The sequence below is a fragment of the Homo sapiens genome, chromosome 19, assembly GCF_000001405.40.
Source record: "Homo sapiens chromosome 19, GRCh38.p14 Primary Assembly".
Taxonomy (NCBI): domain Eukaryota; kingdom Metazoa; phylum Chordata; class Mammalia; order Primates; family Hominidae; genus Homo; species Homo sapiens.
The window spans coordinates 36,458,774-36,483,665 of NC_000019.10; the positions used below are offsets into that span (position 1 = coordinate 36,458,774).

The window sequence follows — 24,892 nt, forward strand, 5'->3', positions numbered from 1 at the left end:
CATTAATTGGCTTGATTATGGTAATCATTTCACAATGTATACACATATATCAAAATACCTAACTGTATACTGTAAATACATATAATTTTTCTTTTTGAGACAAAGTTTTCACTCTTGTCGCCCAGGCTGGAGTGCAATGGCGCGATCTTGGCTCACTGCAACCTCTGCCTCTTAGGTTTAAGTGCTTCTCTTGCCTCAGCCTCCCAGGTAGCTGGGATTACAGGCATGCACCACCACGCCTGGCCAATATATATAATTTTTATTTGCCAAATATACCTCAATAAAGCTAGGGAAAAAGCTGGAATGAATTGTTTAAAAAACTTTCAGAGAAGGATGAAAGTGATGACAGAAAATAATAAGTCATAGGGAAGAAAAATTGATGTAAGAAATAAAATGAATGTCAAATATGAATTCTGGAAGGAAAATATGGCAATGATATAGAACCCTAATAAAACAAATTTCCAGGGTTGATGAAAACTCTTAGTATTCAGATGGTTCCCTTTTTGCTGAGCAATATATATGAGGAAAGAGGTTTTTGTTTTGTTTTGTGTTTGCCTCAGCCTCCCAAGTAACTGGGATTACAGGCATGAGACACCATGCCTGGCTAATTTTTGTATTTTTAGTAGAGATGGGGTTTCATCACCTTGGCCAGGCTGGTCTTGAACTCCTGACCGTGTGATCCACCCACCTGGGCCTCCCAAAGTGCTGGGATTACAGGCGTGAGCCACCGCTCCCAGCCTATTACTTTTTTTTTTTGAGACAGTTTTGCTCTTGTTGCCCAGACTGGAGTGCAATGGCTTGATCTCGGCTCACCACAACCTCTGCCTTCCAGGTTCAAGCGATTCTCCTGCCTCAGCCTCCTGAGTAGCTGGGATTACAGGCATGCGCCACCACGCCCGGCTAATTTTTTGTATTTTTAGTAAAGACGGGGTTTCACCATGTTGGCCAGGCTGGTCTCGAACCCCAACCTCAGGTGATCCACCCGCCTCGGCCTCCCAAAGTGCTGGGATTACAGTCGTGAGCCACCGCGCCTGGCCACCTATTACTTTTTTTTTTTTTTTTTGAGACAGAACCTTGCTCTGTTGCCCAGGTGAGAGTACAGTGGCGTGATCTCAGCTCACTGCAACTTCCACCTCCTGGGTTCAAGAGATCCTCCTGCCTCTCAGCCTCCCAAGTAGCTGAGATCATACGCAGCTATTTTTTTTGTATTTTTAGTAAAGACGAGGTTTCAACACGTTGGCCAGGCTGATCTCGAACTCCTGACCTCAAGTGATCTGCCCACCTTGACCTCCCAAAGTGCTGGGATTACAGGCATAAGCCACTGTGCCTGGCTTTCATAGGATTTAAAGAAAGACCTAGGGTCTCATAGAATAATATTCAGAATGCCTTAGGATACCATCCAAAATCACTCAACATATGAAGAATGAAGAAAATTTTAACTTACATGGCAAAAGACAACAGACACCAAAATAAAGGTGACTCATGTTGGAATTATCAGATAATGACTTTAAAGCAGCTATTTTAAAAATGCTTGAATAAGGAATCATGCACACTCTGCAAACCAATATAAAAATAGAAAGTTTCAGCAAAAGAATAGAATATATAAAGAAGAATAAACAAGTTTTAGAACTGAAAAGTGCAGTAGCCGAAATAAAAACCACTGGCTAGGCTCAACAGCAGAATGGAGGTAATAAAGTCAATAAACTTGAAGATAGTTCAAAAGAAATTAGCTAATATGAATAGCAGCGAAAAAAAGATGGAAAATGCAAAAAGAACATAGCCTCTGGGAATGTAGAACAAGAAAAGATTTAACATTTGTGTCATCAGGGTTTCAGAAGGAGAAGAGATAGTATAGGACTCAAAAAAGATTTGAAGAAATAATGGCTGAAAACTTACAAATTTTGTGAAAGATAAAACAAGCAAAGCCATTTTGAGAAGCTCAGCCACCCCAAATAGGATAAACCCAAAGAAATCCATACTCAGACACATCATAATCAAACTGCTGAAAATCAAAGACAAAATAAATAGTGAAAGAACTGTAAAAAAATATATATTACTTCTGGGTGAACAATGATTTGAATGACTGGATTGCTCTTCATAAACTCTGGAGGCCAGAAAAAAATTGGAACAATAATTTATTGTGCTGAAAAAAAGAGTTGTGAATCCAGAATTTTGTATCTACCAAAAATATCCTTCAGTAATGAAGGTGAGATTAAGAAAAGTAATACTGCAAATGTACATTGCAGCTCAGGCTGTGCCCTCAGAGTCTGTGTGAGAGTAGGCAATAGTGGGGACAGTGGTTAGTAAAAGAGCTTGTACCCCTTCTCAAAGGGGTTAAGTGCTTGTTAAATCCAGGAGACAGCTGTCATGTGAGAATGAAGGTCCAGTGCTGCTTTCCAGCTCTCCAAGGAAAACTAGAAATCCAGATTTCTATATTAAATCCCCTGATAGCTTGAGGCTGGTAACTAATTCAGAACATTAGAGAACTGTAGGGGCAGCACCAAACACAAACATGTGTAGGATACACCCTGAGTTACTAGGTTGTTACTTCAATGGAGTTTTCTGTTTCTTTGAACTTCAGAAATTATACCAAGATACATCTAATTAAAACTCTTGGCTGGACGCAGTGGCTTACGCCTGTGATCCCAGCACTTTGGGAGTCCGAGGCAGGTGGATCACCTGAGGTCAAGAGTTTGAGACCTGGCCAACACGGTAAAACCTCATCTCTACTAAAAATACAAAAAAAATTAGTTAGGCTTAGTGGCGTGCACCTGTAGTCCCAGCTACTCAGGGAGGCTGAGGCAGGAGAATCCCCTGAACCCAGGAGGCAGAGGTTGCAGTGAGCCAAGATCACGCCACTGCACTCCAGCCTGGGCGACAGAGCGAGACTCTGTCTCAGAAAAAATAAAATAAAATAAAATAAAAAAATAAAATAAATCCTATGGAGATGGTTCATATTTTGTTTTAACAGGTATTGACCATGTTGGGTACAGGCTGCAAGTTCCAACAAGGCTTGTGTGGACTGTGATTCCAGTGTCAGTTTTCAAGGCCTTTGCAGTGTTATTTGGATTTGTCCTGTGTGTACACCACCCAATCCAATCTGAACTTACACTTTAGTTCTTAAAGTCTTTGATATGTTATTTAGGGACAGATCCACATATATTCGGGCAAAAATGAGCCTAAGAGTTCATAAAAACTGAGTTTTTTGAACTTTGGGTTTTTTTTTTTTTTTGGAGATGGAGTTTACTCTTGTTGCCCAGGTTGGAGTGCAATGGCATGATCTCGGCTCACCCCAACCTCTGCCTCCCGGGTTCAAGCAATTCTCCTGCCTCAGCCTCCCGAGTAGCTGGGATTAGAGGCATGCACCACCACGCTTGGCTAATTTTGTATTTTTAGTAGAGATGGGGTTTCTCCATGTTGGTCAGGCTGGTCTTGAACTCCCGACTTCAGGTGATCCACCCACCTCGGCCTCCCAAAGTGCTGGGATTACAGACATGAGCCACCATGCCGGGGCCAACTTTGGGTTTTTTGAACTTGAACATAGGTTGCTTTTTTGAACTTGTTCCTTTCTGGGATCTTCTTAATACTTTCTAGTTCCCTGGAGCTCCCCTATTCAGTTCTCTAGTCCTAACGCTGGGGCTTTAGTTACCTCCCTCTGCTATGTATTTTCTGCAACTATGCCTGGGTATGGCAGGAGGAAACAGAGAAAAAAAGTAATAGGGGTTCACTCCACGGCAACTCTAACAGGAAAAGAAGGTTCCTATTCCTTGTAGTTTTAGATACCTGCAGGCCCCCACTGCTTCCACTATTGCTGCTGCTGCTGTGAGATTGTCTGGAGGCTGGGACATGCAAAAACAGGGGGGAAAATATAGACATATATTTGTGTATATATACATATATGTATATATGTACATATGTATGTGCATATACACACAAGCAAGAGATTGCCCCAATCTCTCTTGGTGTTAAGAATCCCATTTCCTCCCATCCTGGCTAACGCGGTGAAACCCCGCCTCTACTAAAAATACAAAAAATTAGCCAGGCGTGGTGGGGGGTGCCTGTAATCCAAGCTACTCGAGAGGCTGAGGTAGGAGCATCGCTTGAACCCAGGAGGCGGAGGTTGCAGTGAGCCGAGACTGTGCCACTGCACTCCAGCCTGGGTGACACAGCGAGACTCTGTCTCAAAAAAAAAAAAAAAAAAAAAAAAAAAAAAAAAATCCCATTTCCTGTGCCTTCTGCCAAAACTGGAAGGCTTATCTTGGGCCAGACGCAGTAATCCCAGCACTTTGGGAGGCCAAGATGGGAGGACTGCTTGAGCCCAGGAGTTCAAAATCAGCCTAGATAACACAGGGAGACCTGGTTTCTACCAAAATTTTAAAAATTAGCTGGGCACGGTGGCACATGTCTGCGGTTTCAGCTACTCGGGGGCTGAGGTAGGAGGATTGCTTGAGCCCAGGAGGTCCAGACTGCAGTGAGCTGTGGGTTCACCACTACACTCCAGCTGGAATTATCTCTGTCTACATCCTACGCAATAAACAACTCAACTGCATTTGTAGACCCCCAAAAATATATAGAAAATACCTAGAAATAAAATATCAAATGAACTATAAGCCCTTTTTTGAGATAAGTTTATAAAAATACACTGAAATACCATCAAGAAGGCCTAAATAAATGGAGAAAAGTACTGTGGTCATGGCAAACATGATTTAACGTAATAAAGATATCAGTTACTACTAAAGTGATCTACAAATTCAATGTAATTTCTTTTTTTTTTTTTTTTTTTTTTTGAGGCAGAGTCTCGCTCTGTTGCCCAGGCTATAGTACAGTAGTACCATCTTGGCTCACTGCAACCTCTGCCTCCTGGGTTCAAGTGATGCTCATGCCTCGGACTCCCAAGTAGCTGGGACAACAGGTGTGCGCCACCACACCTGGCTAATTTTTGTGTTTGCTTTTTTTGGGTTTTTTTTTTTGAGACAGAGTCTCACTCCATCACCCAGGCTGGAGTGCAGTGGCACGATCTCGGTTCACTGCAACCTCCACCTCCCGGGTTCAAGCAATTCTTGTGCCTCAGCCTCCCGAGTAGCTGGGATTACAGTTGTGTGCTATCACACCTGGCTAGTTTTTGTATTTTTAGTAGAGCCTGGGTTTCACCACGTTGTCCAGGCTGGTCTCGAACTCCTGGCCTCAAGTGATCTGCCCACCTCGGCCTCCCAAAGTGTTGGGATTACAGGTATGAGCCACCACACCCGGCCAAATTCGATGTAATTATACATATTAAAAACTCAACATTTTAAATAAAACATAAAGTAATTTTTAATACTATATGAAAGATCAAAGAGATAAGTATAACCAAAATATGCCTAAAGAAAAGGTGGAGAGATGTGTCCTATCAGAAATCAAGACTTGTTATATAAACAAGAGTAATTAAGGCAGGGATAAAAAGGCTCAATGTAACAAGAAAGACCCAATGCATATATGAAATCTGAATATATGACAGAGGAGCATTGTTGATCAATGAAGAATAGACGGAGTTTTCATTTGAGAGGGAAACATAATTTTTTTTTTAAGAGACGGTGTTTCCCTCTGTTGCCCAGGCTGGTTTTGAATTCCTGGGCTCAAGCAACCCTCCTGCCTTAACTTCCCAAAGTGCTGGGATTATAGGCATGAGCTACCACACCCAGCCAATTCGTTTTCTATATAGGAAAAATAACTGATCTCCATCTCATACTATTCATAAAAATCAATTAAAGTTGCATTAATAGGTCTTTAATAAGAAAGCGGAAACATAAAAATTCTTGGGAGTTCGAGATCAGCATGGGCAACATGGCAAAACCCTGTCTCTACAAAAAATATGAAAAGTTAGCCGGGAGTGATGGCATGCGCCTGCAGTCCTGGGAGGCTGAGGTGGGAGGATCACCTGAGCCTAGGAGGTAGAAGCTGCAGTGAGCCGTGATTGTTCCAGTGCACTCTAGCCTGGGTGACTTTTTCTGTCTTAAAAAAAAAATTTTGGGAATCAAAGTAGAAAATTGGGCTAGGAAGGGGTTTCTGAAGATCCAAAAAGTATAAAGCATACAGGAAAAAGATAAAAATGTTTATAAGCAATATATAATTTAACCACTAAACATACAATTTGACAATATTAACACAAAGAATTACTGTTCTTCAAAAGATATCATAACGAAAGTGAATAAAAAAGACACAAACTGGAAAACATATCTATAAAACATGCGATTGATCAAAAATGAGTATCTAGAATTTATACAAGGAATTCCTACAAATCTTAGGAAAAAGACAAATTAGCCTAATACAAAATGGATCAAAATGACATTATACAGAAGAGACACTAATGACCAATAAACATATGGAAAGGTAATCATCTTCAAAAATGACCAGGGAAATTTAATTTAAAATTATAAAATAAGAGTTCATACTCACCAATCAGATTATTAAAAGATGAAAAAATAATATCATAAGGAAAGATGGTGGAACAAAAGTACTTCCAACGTAAACTAATACAACACTTGGAAAACAGTTTGGCATCACCTTGCAAAGCTGAGTAAGTACGTACACCAAGATCCTGCAATGGTATTCCTAAGTGTATTTCCTAACAAATCTCTTGCACATGTCTAAGTCTGCAGATGTAAATATTATTGTCATAATTACATGTTTACATATATACATTCTATATATTCTACTATGTTTATAAATACTTTTTTTTTTGAGACGGAGTCTTGCTCTGTAGCCCAGGAGTGCGGTGGCACGATCTCAACTCACTGTAAGCTCCGCCTCCCAGGTTCATGTCATTCTCCTGCCTCAGCCTCCCGAGTACCTGGGACTACAGGTGCCCGCCACCATGCCCGGCCAATTTTTTTTGTATTTTTAGTAGAGACGGGGTTTCATCATGTTAGCCAGGATGGTCTCGATCTCCTGACCGCGTGATCCACCCACCTCGGCCTCCCAAAGTGCTGGGATTACAGGTGTTAGCCACCATGCCCAGCTTATAAATACTATTTTAAGGGAAAAATTTAATGGATAGGTTGAAAAGCATAAAGGTCATTGTTACAGAATATATTAGCAAATCAATATAAATCAAGGCCAAAGAAATATATATATTAAATATATATAAAGGCAGTATAAATATATATAAAGGCAGTATAAATGGAAAAACAGATAAAGAGTAAGAAACACACAGACGTTTTATGTCAGTTTAATAGAAGGAAAAAAGGAAAAGGTAACAAGGCAATATTTGAAGAGATGACTACTAAGAATTTCCTATCACTGAAAAAAAAAAGATGTAAGTCCTCAGATTGAAAAATACTACCAGGAGCAAGGCATAAGGGGAATAAAGGTAACCATATCTGAATTTATCACAGTAAAAATTTAGCCTATTAGAGGAAAACATTTTTCTCTAATGGAAAGGAACAAGAATCATCTATCAAAAAGAAAACAGTTAAGAATATCTTCATGGCCTTGTGGCAGGCAAAGATATATTAAAAAAGACAACAATGTACAGCTGTCCCTCTGTACCAGGTGGGAGGGGTGAGGACAGTTGAGGTTTGGTTTCAGGACCATGGCAGACACAATCTGCGGATGCTCAAGTCCCTTATATAAAATGGCACAGTAAGTTGGTTTCAACCAACTGTGAGTCTCAACCTACTAATACAGAGGGCCAACTATACGTATTTTACATCCATGATTGGTTGAGTCTGTGGATGCAGAATCCACAAATACGAAGGGCTGACTATACATATGTGATGATTCCATTCATGTAAGATTCAAATATAGGCTAAGGAAGAATTTCTTAACTGAGTCCCTACGAGTGTGAAGCATAAAAGAAAAGATGGATACATTTGACTACAGTAATCATTAAGAACTTCTGCTCACAGAAAAGAAAACCGTAAACAGAGCTAAATTCAATTCAGAGTAGAAAAAGATACTTGTAGTTTGTAGAACATGCAAAGTCCCATAAGCAGAACATATAAAGAACTCTTACACATTAAGAAAAATACAGACAATTCGGCCAGGCGCAGTGGCTCATGCCTATAATCCCAGCACTTTGCCGAGGCAGGTGGATCACAAGGTCAGGAGATCGAGACCATCCTGGCTAACACGGTGAAACCCCATCTCTACTAAAAATACAAAAAAATTAGCCGGGCGAGGTGGCAGGTGCCTGTAGTCCCAGCTATTTGGGAGGCTGAGGTAGGAGAATGGTGTGAACCCGGGAGGTGGAGCTTGCAGTGAGCCGAGATGGCGCCGCTGCACTCCACCCTGGGTGACAGAGCGAGACTCCGTCAAAAAAAAAAAAAAAGAAAGAAAAATACAGACAATTCAACAGAAAAACAGGCAAAAGATTTGAGCAGGCAATTCACTAAAGAATTTCAGCTGGGCATGGTGGCTCACGCCTGTAATCCCAGCACTTTGGGAGGCCGAGACAGGCGGATCACGAGGTCAGGAATTTGAGACCATCCTGGCTAACACAGTGAAACCCCATCTCTACTAAAAATATAAAAAATTAGATGGGCATAGTGGTGGGTGCCCATAATCCCAGCTACACAGGAGGCTGAGGCAGAAGAACCACTTGAACCTGAGAGGCAGAGGTTGAAGTGAGCGAAGATCGCACCGCTGCACTCCAGCCTGGGCAACAATGTGAGGCTCTGTCTCAAAAAAAAAAAAAAAAAAAGAATTTCAAAAAACCAATGACTTGAAAATGTGTGCTAAAACTCATCAGGAAAGAAAAATGTGGCCGGGCACGGTGGCTCAAGACTATAATCCCAGCACTTTGGGAGGCGGGTGGGTCATTTGAGGTCAGCAGTTGAAGACCAGCCTGGCCAACATGGTGAAACCCCATCTCTACAAAAAATATAAAAATTAGCTGGGCTTGGTGGCACGTGCTTGTAATTCCAGGTACTTGGGAGGCTGAGGTGGGAGAATTGCTTGAACCTGGAAGGCAGAGGTTGCAGTGAGCTGAGATCATGCCACTGCACTCCAGCCTGGGTGACAGAGCGAGACTCCATCTCAAAAAAAAAAAAAAAAAAAAAAAAAAAAAAAAAAGAAAAAAAGAAGGAAATGCAAATTAAAACCACACTGAATTATTATTATACACTCACTAATTGATAAAAATCAAAGTTTGGGCTGGGCATGGTGGCTCACGCCTGTAATCCCAGCACTTTGGGAGGCCGAGGCAGGCCGATCACCTGAGGTCAGGAGTTCGAGAGCAGCCTGACCAACAGGGAGAAACCCCATCTCTACTAAAAATACAAAATTAGCCGGGCGTGGTGGCGCATGCCTGTAATCCCAGCTACTTCGGAGGCTGAGGCAGAAGAATCACTTGAACCCGGGAGGCAGAGGTTGCGGTGAGCCGAGATCGTGTCATTGCACTCCAGCCTGGGCAACAAGAGTGAAACTCTGCCTCAAAAAAAAAAAAAAAAAAAATTAAAGTTTGACAATACCGTACATTAGGAAGCATGTGCAACAATGGGAACATTCATATACTGCTGGTGAAATTGTAAACAAATACAAGTGTTGAAGAAAAGTTAAAATTAGGTAGCTCGGCTGGGTGAAGTGGCTTGCTCCTGTAATCCCAACACTTTGGGAGGTTGAGGTGGGAGGATCACTTGAGGCCAGGAGTTAGAGATCAGCCTGGTCAACATGGCAAAACCCTGTCTCTACTAAAAATACAAAAATTAGCTGGGTGTGGTGCTGCATGCCTGTAATTCTCACAATTCGGGAGGCTAAGGCATGAGAATCACTTGAATCTTGGAGGCAGAAGTTGCAGTGAACCCAGATCACGCCATTTCACTCCAGCCTGGGCGACAGGACTAGACTCTGTCTCAAAAAAACTAAAAAATTAGGCAGCTAGTTTGGGAGCAGTAGCTCATGCCTGTAATCTCAGCCCTTCTGGAGCCTGAGTGGTGGGATCACTTGAGCCCAGGAGTTCCAGACCAGCCTGGGCAACGTGGCAAAACCCCGTCTCTACAAAAAATACAAAAAATTAACCAGGTGTGGTGGCATGCATCTGTAGTCCCATCTACTCAGGAGGCTGAGGTGGGGGGATCACGTGAGCCCAGGAAGTGGTCAAGACTGCAGTGAGCCGTGATAGTGCCACTGCCCTCCAGCCTGGGCAAGAGTGGGACCCTGTTTCAAAAAAAAAAGTAAAAGCACCCTCTGGGAACCAATAGACAGGTAAATGTTATTATTTTGCAAAGTCCATAAAAACTGAAAAAATCAACACAGTAATAGATTAAAAGTATGAAATATAGAAATGAACAAGGTAATTATCATGCTATGGTGAAAATGTACACTCTTACAAGTATTCAATATAATGACAATAAAGCAGTCCAGTATACAAAGAAATCACTGTAAAATTTATATAACTTTGCATTAAGGTTATATAAGGGAGAAAGTATCAGTATTTTTTAGAATTACATGAGATTATGCAAGGGTGAAATGACATGAAGTCCTGGATTTACTTGAAATTATTTGTGGTGGGACGCGGTGGCTTACGCCTGCAATCCCAGAATTTGGGAGGCCAAGGCAAGTGGATCACCTGAGGTCAGGAGTTCGAGACCAGCCTGGCCAACCTGGTGAAACCCCATCTCTATGAAAAATACAAAAAAATTTGCCAGGCATGGTGGCGGGTGCCTGTAATCCCACCTACTCGGGAGGCTGAGGCAGGAGAATTGCTTGAACCCGGGAGGTGGAGGTTGCAGTGAGCCGAGATCACGCCTTTACACTCCAGCCTGGGTAACAAGAGCGAAACTCCATCTCGAAAACAAAGAAAAAAAAGAAAATATTTGTGCGACAATAGGGGTAGATTAGTGGCATGTATTTTTGAAAATTTTCACAATGAAAAGCAACATTCTACGACTTGTAAAATAAATGAGCGAAAACATTTATTTAAAATAAAAATTAACCATTCTTAAAGAGTACAATGAAATGAATACTACCAAACACTGTGAGTGTCTGAAAGCTTCAGAAATATCTTGTCTCTGAGAATCTATCCTAAGCAAATACAGAAAAATCTATATGCGTAAAGTGTGCTTTTACATAAAGAATGCATATATGCATAAAGAATGGTACTTTTACAAACAAGCATTGATTAGAAAGCAGCTTAACTATGTAAGTATAAGTACTCGAACTGCACTAAAAGAAAAAAAAAACAGAATTATATGAGAAAATGCATGTAGAAACTATTACATACCTATCTAATCTTCATGGCCAGATCTTTTTGGTACTTTTCTTCCTGAGTTCCTGAGTTCACCTTCTATCCTGCTGTTGTTCAACCTACATTTCCTTGCCATACCTTCTCCTGCTGTAAACCTCTAGGTATCAGGGTGCTTCAGGTTTCTGTCCTTGCTATATTTATTCCCTAGGGGATTTCATCCAGTCACAAGACTCTATATCTCTACATTGAAGGCTCTCCAAATTTTCCTCCAATGCTGATCTGACCTCCCAGTTCCAGACTTCTATACTGAGCTGCCTGCATGGCATCTATGCTGCGTCCAGTAAGCCCTGAAGCTTAACATAAGCAAACCCACCCTTGATTTTGCAAGCCCCAAATCTACTTTCCCCATTTCAGTAATTACAAAGCCCATTCTTCCACAGGCTCTCCCTAAAAAGCATGAATCCTTTTTTTTCCGCTTACACTCCAAGACTGAATCCTGCTAACTCTTCCTTGAAAAGATTTCAAACCCACCGCTTCCTTCCACTGCCACTGATAACATTTCAATGGTCTCTGAGCCATCACTGTATCTCAACCAGACTACTACAAAAACCTGCTAAACAGCCACTCTGCTTCCAATCTTGCCACCTACAAAGCAGCCAGGGAAATCTTTTTAAAATATATGTTGCATCAAGGACAGGCGCAGTGGCTCACACCTGTTATCCCAGCACGTTGGGAGGCCGAGGTGGGAGGATCACCTGAGGTCAGGATTTCGAGACCAGCCTGGCCAACATGGTGAAACACTGTCTCTACTAAAATACAAAAATTAGCTGGGCATGGTGGCGGGTGCCTGTAATCCCAGCTACTCGGGAGGATGAGGCACGAGAATCGCTTGAACCCAGGAGGTGGAGCTTGCAGTGAGCCAAGATCATGCCACTGCACTCCAGCCTGGGTGACAGAGCAAGACTCCATCTCAAACAAAAACAAAAACATGGCCGGTGTGGTGGCTCACGCCTGTAATCCCAGCACTTTGGGAGGCCAAGGCAGGTGGATCACAAGGTCAGGAGATTGAGATCATCCTGGCTAACATGGTGAAACCCTGTCTCTACTGAAAAAAAAATACAAAAAAATTAGCCGGGCATGGTGGCACGCACCTGTAATCCCAACTACTCGGGAGGCTGAGGCAGGAGAATCGCTTGAACCTGGGAAGCGGAGGTTGCAGTGAGCCGAGATCATGCCACTGCACTCCAGCTTGGGCGACAGAGCGAGACTCTGTCTCAAAAAAAAAAAAAAAAAAATAATGAGTTGCATCAAGCCATTTCTAGGTGCACAGCCTTCTGATGACTTCTTGTCTTAGAATGAAAAGATTTCCCATGGCCTGTATGGCAGACAGTACATAAACTGACCCACTCTTTCCCACTCCTGCCTCTTTGATCTCATCTCCCACCCACGTACCCCTCTGCTCTCACTCCTCCAGTCACTGGCCTCTGGGGCTGCTCCTCAAACACAGCCAACGCACAGCTGCCTCAGGCCCTTGAAGGTCTGCATTCCTCCATCTGGAGTGGTCCTCCGCCCAGTACAGTAACTTACTATGGTGCTTCTTCAGGTCTCTGCCCAAACGTTACCATATCATTTAGTAAGATATGGTAAATTTCTCTTGCCCCTTCACATAAAATATCATCCTTTATCCCCTTCCTCTACTTCTTATTTCTTTTAGTATTTACTATTACCTGGTATGTTATATATTCATCTATTTTCATGTCTCTCCCTACACTGTGGGGTAGGTTCTGGGAACAGAGATTATGCATGTTCTTTTTTTTCTTTTTTTGAGAGAGTCTCTCTCTGTCACTCAGGCTGGAGTGCAGTGGCGTAATCTTGGCTCACTGCAACCTCCACCTCCTGGGTACAAGTGATTCTCCTGCCTCAGCCTCCTGAGTAGCTGGGATTACAGGCGCATGCTACCACACCCAGCTGATTTTTGTATTTTTTAGTAGAGATGGGGTTTCATCATGTTGGCCAGGCTGGTCTTGAACTCCTGATCTCAGGCAATCCTCCTGCTTCAGCCTCCCAAAGTGCTGGGATTACAGGGGTGAGCCACTGCACCCAATCACGCATGTTCTATTCATTACTGTAACCTCAGTGTTGAGAATAGTGCTGGGCATACCATAGTCACTACAGAGACATAAACTAAATGAATGAATGTGCTGTTCTGTTCCTCCTCCTTCATACCAAATCTCTCTTTGCCAGCTCTTACCTTCTCCATGGAGACACAGGCCCTTTATTTCCAACCCTCTATATAAAGTCAATGATGCTTACACCAAAAATCTCCCCCTATGACTTCTATGTGGATCAACCCCTCTTCTACCTCGTTAGCCCTCACTTTCTGCTAAGCTCCCTATTTTAACTTCGCTTATGGTGGTGTTATTTGTAGACATGTTCTAGTACTTCTACTAGGCAGTAAGTTCTGAAATTGCTTATTCCTTTTTTAAACTCTGCAGCACCTAGCTGAGTGCCTTATACATGTTAGAAAATCAGTAAATGTTGGTAAAAAATATGAATGAATCAATGAGGGCATAAACCCCTATCCCAAAAAACTTAGTAAAAGCAAATAAGTCTTTGGCAGTGTAGGAAAAAATCTATTTCTGGAGACAGTGATGCTTTTATTAGACTAAATACAAAGGAGGATGAGAAGCTAGGAAGGAAATGGATCCAAAATATGGATAGAAAAGAATATCACTAGAAAGGGTGGAGGAGGGCACCAGCTGGTTAGAACTGAGAGAGAAGGATAAGAGGAGAAAAGCAGGCAAAGTGTGTTAGGTAAAGGGGAAAGGTAGGATCATTTGAAAGCTCATGTAGAAAAGGTCTTACATTTGCACAACAGGCCAAAAGCCTGTGAGGAGAGTTTCCCAGATAGCATCTAAAAGATGCAGTCTCTCTACCAGCCAAATCACGCATTACCTGCTGTGCCTCACTTACCTGGCCACTGGCCTCTTGTTAGCTCTCTGTCAGCCAACCAGGGCTCCTTCCCTTGCTCCAAGTAGGAGATCACATTTGGTTTAGAAATAGAATGCCCTGCTTACAAAAGAAGTAACAAAACAAATTTATCATGAGCATATCCTAGAATTCAAATCCAGTCCCTTCATTATAAAGAAAGACATGGCATTATGAGAAGAGTCAAAGAGAGGTACAACGGACTTATGAAACATAACGGAAGATGTAAAACATCCCCAAAAACTCAATGCAGCTTCCTTTTTCTAACTCTACCATATTCAGAACATTCCTGTGGAACAGGATATCAAAATTCGACTGGTTTTTGAAAGCCAGGTGAGCATTTCACATTGGAGGAAGTAGGCCTTCCAAGGGCAGAATCTAAATTACTATGGACAGATGTCCTTACCCATTGAAACCAGGTTGCTGTAATTCTCCAACATCACATCTCTGTATAAATCTCTCTGATCATCATTCAGGCATTCCCACTCCTCCTGAGAGAAGTCTACGGACACATCACTGAACATCACTGACTCCTGGAACAATAACCACGTATATGACTTCATTAATTTTTTAAAAAGTACTTTTGTGAAGGAAAGAGAGAAGAAAAAGATTAAGGTAGAGGAAGTAAAATATAGTGAGCATATGAATGTCTGGGAAGCAGTGGAGGACTGTAAACAAATAAGCACAACTGAATCACTGGGTTTCCAGGTCATTCTGTTTCCTCCAAATGAAACTGCCTGAGTATGCTAGGATACCTCCATTATCCAAACAAGGTTGGGAAGGTACAAAAATTCAGCTAAGAGGGCTTTTCCAATTAAATGAAATTGTATATGCAATGCCTCACACTATACCTGTCATATAATAAATCAACGATACATGTGATCTTTCTCCCTCTCTTTTCCCAAATAGCTGAGAGTCAAATTTCAGAATAAGGGATAAAGACATTAAAAGCCACCAGAGAGAAGAGCAGGTCATATAAAAGGCATCAAAAATTAGAGGGGCAATGGAATTCTCAAGAACACCTCTAAAAGCAAGAAACAATAAGAACGATTCTTCAATATTCTGATGGAGAAAATAAACTCTGACCTAGACTTTCATAAACAAACTATCATTCTGTTTTGAGTGTTGAGAAAAGACATTTGTAGACATCCAAGGACTCAAGAAGAGTTTCTTCAGAAACTTCTAGAGGATGTGGTCCACAAAAACGAGGGAGTAAACAAAAAAAGAAGACAACATAGGATTCAGGAAGTAGGTAAAGTTTCAGGAAAGCTGTGACTGAGAGAGTAAACCAGACCAGATGGGAACAAGGAAACAGGAAATGGGGAATCAAGTCTCTATATCAAAAGGAACTGATGTGTCTGACCAGAGGGAAAACGTATTGATTGGCCTGTGGCAATGATGCTGGAGATTCTGGATATAAACACACAAATGACTAGGCAAATGAGGGGGGAAGCAATTAACCCCAGGAAAATGAAGGGTTGTATAGAACAAAGCCATGAGCTCGCTTGGCAGAGAATAATATTTGCAGCCGTAATAAGGTGTATACTATTGATTTAACCAAAAATGGTGATATGGTAACAGTCAGGAAAAACGAAAGTGCAGTATGGGAATACAATGTTCCCTTTAACTTTGCAATCAGTCAAGAGATAATGACTAAAGTGGGTTTATCGAAAAATGGTAGTAAACCAATTTTCAAGAGTTGAGGGCAGTGGCCTCTTGGAGTGGGTCTGGTAACGGGACAAAACCAGAATTGAACTATTTCCCTTGTAGACATGTGTAAAATTACTTTTAAAAACTTTGTATCTTAGAAAATTAAATTTGCATATAATTTAAGACTCTGATCCATTCCTATGCCAGACTATTATATAATAAGAAATATTCCTTGTTACAACAAATGCTATTCATATGTTTCTCACTGAATACTATTCTATTATAAGGCTATAAATGACATCTATCCTTTTGCCTTTAGAAATTCAGGCTAGAGGTGATCTCTAAAGACCTCGCCAACATTGGCCCAATCTTATTTATAACCACCTACTGCCCAGCTGTAAATTCCCCTTATAACTAAGCTACAGAAAACTGGTGAAGGATGATCCAGTTTCACCGTTGGTATTACTGACATCATTGCTTTTGTTTTTTAAACAGGATCTTCCTCTATCACCCAGGCCAAAGTGCAGTGGCATGATCACATCTCACTGCAGCCATGACTTCCTGGGCTCAAGTGATCCTCCCACCTCAGCCTCCCGAGTAGCTGGGACTACAGGCGTGCACCAACATGCCTGGCTAATTTTTGTATTTTTTGTAGAGATGGGGTTTGCCATGTTGCCCAGGCTAGTCACCTGGGTTCAAGCAAACCACCAGCCTCAACCTCCCAAAATGCTGGAATTACAGGTGTGAGTCACCACGTTTGGCCACTGACATCAATTTTTCATGGATGCTTAGTGAGGTGTGAGAGCTTTGTAACAACCACTAGTCACACTCTCAAACATAAAAGGCTCGTTAACCAGGAGACCTTGCCATGTACTAGGACTGAAATCAAACAAAACCACAGCATGTATTTTCTTATTGGAAAACCCAGGTCTACAGAGCTAATGAGGGCTTTTCCCTATAAGGTGCCCCTAATTACTTATTTTCATCCCATCAAATCACTGTCCAAGCAAATTAAATTCATATTAATTCAATGTGGGGAACACATTTCTGCCCTATCAGGATTTTTGGTAGAAATCTGAGATAGGAGATGCTGAAGGACTTGTAAACCAGCATGTAAACATTGTTTAAAAGCGGGGGGCGGCGGGGAACTGAAGAGGAGACTGGGGTTGTTTAGGAGGAAATGCATGTCCTTTTCCTGACAGGGGACCCTGGAAACCAGTGTAAAAAAAATTATTCCAAACCTGATCTGGGTCAGGTTTTTACATTACATAATTTTTACATTACATAATTCTTAAATCTCTTTATGGAAAGAAAGAAATAAGTATTCTTGATGAAACTGATAGGGGATTTTCTGATGGACATTAATCTAAATTAAAACTTCTTCAGAGAAATTTGTTATTCAACCACTTGGCTGACTAACAGTTAACAGTGAATTAATATAAATTTTTTTCTGGGCACAGTGGCTCATGCTTATAATCCCAGCTCTTTGGGAGGCTGAGGCGGGTGGATAACTTGAGGTCAGGAATTCGAGGCCAGCCTGGACAACATGGCAAAAACTCATCTCTACTAAAAATACAAAAATTAGCTGGGTGTGGTTGTGGGCGCCTGTAATCCCAGCTACTCAGGAGGCTGAAGTAGGAGAATCACTTGAACCCTGGAGGCAGAGGTTGCAGTAAGCCAAGATTGTGCCACTGTACTCCAGCCTAGAAGACAGAGCGAGACTCCATCTCGAAAAAAAAAAAAAAAGGGTAAATTTTCTAACAATGATTATGTAATCAATTCTTTTTTTTTCTATGAATTGGCCTGTTAGAGATCCTTTCCTTTACAGCAAAATTCTGACATTGCTCATAACCAAACTTTTTGAAAGGTGTTGTTTTTCTAACATCAAAAAGCATCATCATGAGGAAAGCAAATGTTTACAGTTACTAGAAGTAAAAATCACTCTATCTGAGCAAAAGGAAACAGTATCTCACCTGAGCCATGGCTCTGATATTTGTAGAAAAGGACCTTCTCTTGGCTCTTCTTTTGGAGAAGGGTAGAGCTGGGAGAGGCAAAAGAAGATAGATAAGACCCCACTTTCCTCACAGCTCCTGGCCCAGAATGATCATTTTCCTTCTGTTCATGCTTCAGAAATGCTTGTGGGGTATCAGTGAGGAGAATGGGCAAATGTCTCTATCATCCCTAGCTTCAAAGATACCAGGCTGTAACTGGAGCAGGATGGATTAGGGCAACTCAATATGGCTTGGAGAATATATGTTTATATACACACACATACATACATATAGATTTTTTTAACTCATATTATACACACTACTTATACACGTTGCTATTTTTACTTTACATATCTTGGAATGAAGTCCCAATTAGCACATATTGTGTTACATAACTGGTTTAATAGCTACATTGCAGTCCATTAAATGGATATAACTTAATTTTTTTTTTCTTTTCTTTTTGAGACAGAGTCTCACTCTGTCCCCCAGGCTGGAGTGCAGTGGTGCAATCTTGGCTCACTGCAACCTCCGCGTCCTGGGTTCAAGCGATTCTTCTGCCTCAGCCTCCCAAGTAGCTGGGACTACAGGCATGTGCCACCACGCCCGGCTAATTTTTTGTATTTTTAGTAGTGATGGGGTTTCACTCTGTTAGCCAGGATGGTCTCGATCTCCTGACCTCATGATCCGCCCGACTCCACCTCCCAATGTGCTAAGATTACAGGTATGAGCCACCGCGCCTGGCCATAACTTTATTTATTTAACCAATCTGTGGCCAATCATCATTTAGGCTTTTTCTAGTTTTTCACTGTAACAAACAATGCTGTAATAAATATCCTTGTGCATATGTCATTTTACCTGTATATGAGTTCTTCACAATTAATTCCTAAAAGTATAATTGCTCAGAGATTATACACATTTTAAGTTTGGATATACCTGGGTCAAACCAGTTTTCTGTTTCTGTTTTTTTTTTGTTTGTTTGTTTGTTTTTTTGAGACGGAGTCTTGCTCTGTCGCCCAGGCTGGAGTGCAATGGCGCGATCTTGGCTCACTGCAAGCTCCGCCTCCCAGGTTCACGCCATTCTCCTGCCTCAGCCTCCTAAGTAGCTGGGACTACAGGCTCCCGCCACCACGCCCGCCTAATTTTTGTATTTTTAGTAGAGACGGGTTTCACCATGTTGGCCAGGCTGGTCTCAAAATCCTGACCTTCCAAAGTGCTGGGATTATAAGCGTGAGACACCACACCCAGCCTTGTGTGTATTCTTTATAAACATCTTCACTTTAAGATGTTTAAAGTGCCCAAAAGAATAAGTTATACTAAAATACTAAAGGAAGACTACATTGTTTAAGGGGAAGAACTGAATTAGTGATCAATGTTTAAATGTTTAAGAAAATTTTGGTGTTTTGCTTATTAGCTACAAGAACTTAATAAACTTAAAATTATACAAACTATAAAGAGCACTATTATTCTCTATGCACCAAGCTTCTTGATCATTAAACAATTCATCAATTATTTCATATAAAACTGACCACCCAGAAAGTAGCACCATGTTATCAATTATCTAATGGCTTCCTCTACCCATAGGCACTCACTCACTGCATTTCCCCAGATGAATACCAAAGGAATACAAGTGTCTCTTCTTTAAAACCTAAATGCACGCTGATATTATTATTATTACTACTACATATTAAGCTCTTAGTATTCTTTTATCAACCAAATAGCCTATGATATATAATAGCCAGGCATTGTGCTAGATACTAAAGAGTCAAAAATAATCCAGAAAGATCTGGAAACAGAGTTCCTTCTTCTATATTCCTCATTTTAAGCCCTCCTTTCTGGTCTCTCCTCCTGGCCTTCCTCTGGTTAAAGGGATGTCTTCAAATGCTGTACCTTCCAAGCAGGATGGCATGAAACATTCCCACTTCAACAGCTCCATACCATGCTTGTTGCATTCTCAACACTCCTCATCTTTGCCCCAGAGGGCAGCCTCCCATGCTGAATTCTTACATCAGGGGATCTGCTCCTCTCTTTTAAATTCAGCCCTCATTAATGTAAAAAAAAAAAAAAAAAAGTCTCACGAAATAAGAAAGAAAACTTTCTCAACTTGATGAGTAGCATCTAAGAAATACCTACTGTTGGGAGAGACAGTTACCATGGGTCTCCACATTCTTAGGCGTCTTGCTGGGTATGCCTAGAATGCAAGATTCTAACTACTCATTTCCCAGGGTTATTTATGCAGCTGATAACCTTGAGAGTTGAGATAAGAGCACGAACAGTAGGGTTGCTTACTGCTGACTATAAAAGCAATGGATTATCCAGGCTCAGTGTTCCTCAGTGGCTATGCCCATGCACTGCATGAATAGCATCCATGTAGACCCACATGCTGTCCCCATGGGAGCTGAGAGAAATAGGAACTGATGAACACTGATGCCTACGCTGCTTGCTGTGCCATGAGTAATAAAGTCTTTGTCTCTGATCCAGGGGTCTCATGTTTTCTGCCAGCATTCATGAAACTAACAGGCTAATGTATGAGCTTGTATGTAGGAAAATATCAAATCCTAGAGCTAATGTTATAACTAATGTTGAAACACTGAAAAATGTCCCCCTGAATCCAGGAAAAAAAGAATAATGTGCATTATCATCATTTCTTTTTAACAATGTAATAAAGGGCTTGGCCAGTATAATAGGGCACGATGAAGAAATAAAAGGTATAAAGATTGGTAGGAAAGAAAGAAAACTATCATTATTCACAGATGATAAGTTGCAGACATAGAAAATCCTAAATAATAAATTCTTAAAATTAGCAAGTGAATTAAACAACATGGTCTCATATAGAGACAATATATAAAAATCAATTGCATTTCTAGTAACAAGTAATTGGAAAATTGTTTAAAATGTAAATACTATTCACAGTTTCCATAATAAACATCAAATACTCAGGTATAAAGCTATCAAAAATGTTACTAAAAATGACAAATTGGTAAGAGAAATTAAGGATCTTAACAAATGTCGACATATACCATATGTACTATAGATTGAATATTGATGTCAATTCTCCCAAAATGAACACAGTTTTTGTTTTTGTTTTTGAATCAGGGTCTTGCTTTGTTACCCAGGTCGGAGTGCCGTGGCACGATCAAAGCTCGCTGTAGCCTCAACCTGTGGGGCTCAAGGGATTCTCCCACCCCAGCCTCCTGAGAAGCGAGGAGTAGAAGCACGCCATCAAGTCCAGCTAAATGTTTGGGGTTTTGTTTCTTTGTTTGTTTGCGTGTTTGCTTGGTTTTAGTTGTTTTTTTGTTTTTGTTTTTGTTTTGGTAGAGACAGGGTCTCACTGTGTTGCCCAGGCTTGTCTTAAACTCTTGGGCTCAAGCAATCCTCCAGCCTTGGACTCCCAAAGTGCTGGGATTACAGGTGTGAGCCACTGCATCAGGCCCCAAAATGAACACATATATTTGTAAAGAAAACCCCAGCAAGGCTTTGGGGGGAATAAGGTAAAAATTAGCAAGTTGATTCTAACATTTATTTGGAAATTAGAAGAGCTTATAATAGCCGAGATAGCTTGGAAAAGAAAAAAAGTAGGAGGACTAAAACTACAGATTTCAAGACAGCAGTACAGACAAAACAATAAAACCAAATAGAATATAGAGTCCAGAAAGAGAGCCACATAACCACATGTATATACTGTCACCTGATTTATGACAAAGACTCCATGCAATTTTTTTTTCTTTTTTTTTTTTTTGAGACAGAGTCTCACTCTGTCACGCAGGCTGGAGTGCAGTGGCAAGATCTTGGTTTACTGTAACCTCTGCCTCCCAGGTTCAAGCAATTCTCCTGCCTCAGCCTCTGGAGTAGCTGGGATTACAGGTGGCTGCCACCACACCCGGCTAATTTTTGTATTTTTAGTGGAGACAGGGTTTCACCATGTTGGCCAGGCTGGTCTCAAATTCCTGACCTCAGGTGATCTGCCTGCCTCGGCCTCCCAAAGTGCTGGGATTACAGGCGTGAGCCACCTTGCCCAGCCTCCATGCAGTTTAGATGGGCAAGGACAATCTTTTCAATAAACAGTGCTGAAACAACTAGGCACCCAACTGGAAAAAAAAAAATTAACCTTTACCCCATACATAAGAATTAATTTAAGAGGGATCACAGACTTAAGTGTGAATGTGAATGTTTAAAAGCTTCGGGGCCAGGCGTGGTGGCTTATGCCTGTAATCCCAGCACTTTGGGAGGCCAAGGCCCACCAAGGCAGGCGGAACACCTGAGGTCAGGAGTTCGAGACCAGCCTGGCCAACATGTTGAAATGCTGTCTCTACTAAAAATACAAAAAAAATTAGCCGGGCATGGTGGCAGACGCCTGTAATCCCAGCTACTCAGGAGGCTGAGGCAGGAAAATCGCTTGAACCCAGGAGACAGAGGTTGCAGTAAGCTGAGATCACACCACTGAACTCCGGCCTGGGCAACAAGAGTGAGACTTCGTTTCAAAAAAAAGCACTAGTCATAAAAGACAAAGTACTAAATAAATATCTGCTACAAAAATGGGGAAAGACATAAACAGGCAATCTTTTAAAAGACTCTGAAATGTTCAAACACACTCATAATGAGAGAAATAAGAAAACAACAATGAGGGCTGGGCACAGGGGCTCATACCTGTAATCTCAGCACTTTGGGAGGCCGAGTCTGGTGGATCACCTGAGGTCAGGAATTTGGGACCAGCCTGGCCAACATGGTGGAACCCCATCTCTACCAAAAATACAAAAATTAGCTGGGCGTGGCGGCACGCGCCTGTAGTCCCAGCTACTCAGGAGGCTGAGGCAGGAGAATCACTTGAACCCAGGAGGCGGAGGTTGCAGTGAGCCGAGATCGCGCCACTGCACTCCAGCCCCGGCAACAGAGCAAGACACTGTCTCGGGAAAAAAAAAAAAAAAAAAAAAAGAAAAGAACACTGAGGTACTATTTCTCATCTATTAGACTGGTGAAAACTAAAAAACATGACAACATATTCTGTTAGGTGGGCTGTGAAGGGAAACAGACATGCTCATACACAGCAAGTAGGAATAAAAACTGGTACAACAGTTCTAGAGAGGAATTTTGCAATACTTAACAAAACTACAAAGCACTTACCTTTTGACCCAGCAATACCGCTTCTAGGAATCTACCCTAAAGATACTCCTCCAGCAATAGAAAAATACATATATACAAGGTTATTGCAGCACTGTTTCTAGTAACAAAATATTGTAAATGACCTAAATATCCATACGTAGGAAAGCGGTTCAATAAACTATGATAAATCCACAGGCTGCAGTATTATGTAACAATTAGAAAAGAATTATGAATATCTCTTTAACTGCCTGAGTGTTATCCAGAATGTATCATTAAGAGAAAGAAACAATGTACAAAAGAGTGCCTAGAGAATGCTATCTTTAATGTAAAAAGAATATAGGTAACTCTTCATTTGTGCAAAAGAAACACAGCAAGGATAAAGCAGAAACGAATGAAGTTGAATATATACAAGGAGTCTGTGGGAACTAAGTTAATTTTTATTTATTTATTTATTTATTTTGAGACGGAGTCTCGCTCTGTCGCCCAGGCTGGAGTGCAGTGGCGCGATCTCGGCTCACTGCAAGCTCCGCCTCCCAGGTTCACGCCATTCTCCTGCCTCAGCCTCTCCAGTAGCTGGGACTACAGGCGCCCGCCACCACGCCCGGCTAATTTTTTGTATTTTTAGTAGAGACGGGGTTTCACCGTGTTAGCCAGGATGGTCTTGATCTCCTGACCTCGTGATTCGCCGGCCTCGGCCTCCCAAAGTGTTGGGATTACAGGAGTGAGCCACTGTCCCCTGCGAATGTTTTCACATTCAAAATAGTGTAGCCTGCTACAATCAACCAGGATGTGGGGGAACCCAAAATGCAACAAATGATCCTTAAATGTAAGAAAAATGTAAGAAAAAAAAAAAACATACTGAAAAGAGTGGCAAAGAAAAGAACTAAATTGAGTAACTTTGGAAGATGTTTGTTTACTATATACTATAAGCTTAAAGAAAAAGAGCTACACAGAGATTCTCTACTGTAGTTACTAAATACTTTTTACACAGGTCCAGGTTGGCAACTCTGAACTAATTTGCATGTATTCTAGGATAGAGCTAATTATTGATTCTGAGAAGCAGGTTTCTCTCTGTTGGAAAATGAAGTAACAAGGAAATGGCCAAATTTGATGGGAGACAATTCTCCATGGGTCTTGCATGTTTCTGCGTATCTTGCAAGAAGAGGTACTAAGTGTTTTTGTTCTGCACTATTTTACCAAGTTGTTTATACAGTGAACAGCCTTGGAAGACAGAGTCGGTCTCCTTCTACAGCAAAGGGTAGGCATTCTAACTATCCATTATAAAAAATTCAGGTTTCCTAAGGTCAAGGGAACACACAGATACCTGTGTATTTTGCATAATCCTGGGTGTATGACTGAATCAGTACCATGAGAATGTAGATATTCTGAAGATTGCCATGAGCAACAAAGCATCCTTTGTCTCAGACTCAGAAGTCTCATGTTTTCTGAACGTATCTGTGAAACTGACAAGCCAACTTACTAGCTTACAACTAGGGTAAAATCTCAGATAGTTCATAGTTCTTGGGAAAAGAAAATACCCTGTGGTACTGGAATAGAATTAAACATATGAGTGTAAACTGGTGTGTTTTTAACATATAAACAAATAAATAGACATAAATGTGCATGTAGACATTTGTGTATTTTCTCACTCTCTCCACTGACCAGAACCAGAGCAAAGACACACCAGTAGCAATAAGCACACCAAGTGCCCAGATCTTGGTTTATAAATTCATTCTCCAATAAAAGAAATTAATGCTGCTTGGAGAAATTGCTGAGCCCAGAGATGGAAGAGGGAAAATACAAGATGAACCTGGAACATCTTATGTCCCAGAAAGCGGGGTTGGGGGGAAGCTTTAAAAAATGATCACACGTTGAAAAGACACAAGAGCCAACTTAAGGAGCTTCTGATGGCCAAATATGGGAAAATTTGAACAGCAAAATAAATAAATAATAATAATAGAGAATAGAATAAAATAAATATCCATGAGTCCATAGGTAAATA

The 24,892-nt window shown here is 41.2% G+C and overlaps 1 protein-coding gene across 10 annotated transcripts in view; it reads right to left on the reverse strand.

Annotated features, from left to right (window-relative positions):
* The window catches only part of ZNF566 (zinc finger protein 566), a 44,443-nt gene that overhangs the window by 13,655 nt on the left and 5,896 nt on the right, over positions 1-24,892 (reverse strand). For 3 of the 10 annotated variants that reach the window (NM_001145344.1, NM_001145345.1, NM_032838.4), the window contains exons 2-4: positions 17,776-17,843; positions 14,559-14,685; positions 14,138-14,233 (exon numbers count right to left, since the gene is read on the reverse strand). In NM_001145344.1, the coding sequence (NP_001138816.1) occupies positions 14,138-14,233; positions 14,559-14,685; positions 17,776-17,784 (232 nt within the window). In that variant the 5' untranslated portion in view covers positions 17,785-17,843. Of the gene's footprint in view, positions 1-14,137; positions 14,237-14,558; positions 14,686-17,775; positions 17,844-24,892 lie in introns of all 10 variants that reach the window. The other 7 variants (NM_001145343.1, NM_001437584.1, NM_001437587.1 and 4 more) reach the window with 4 other exon arrangements.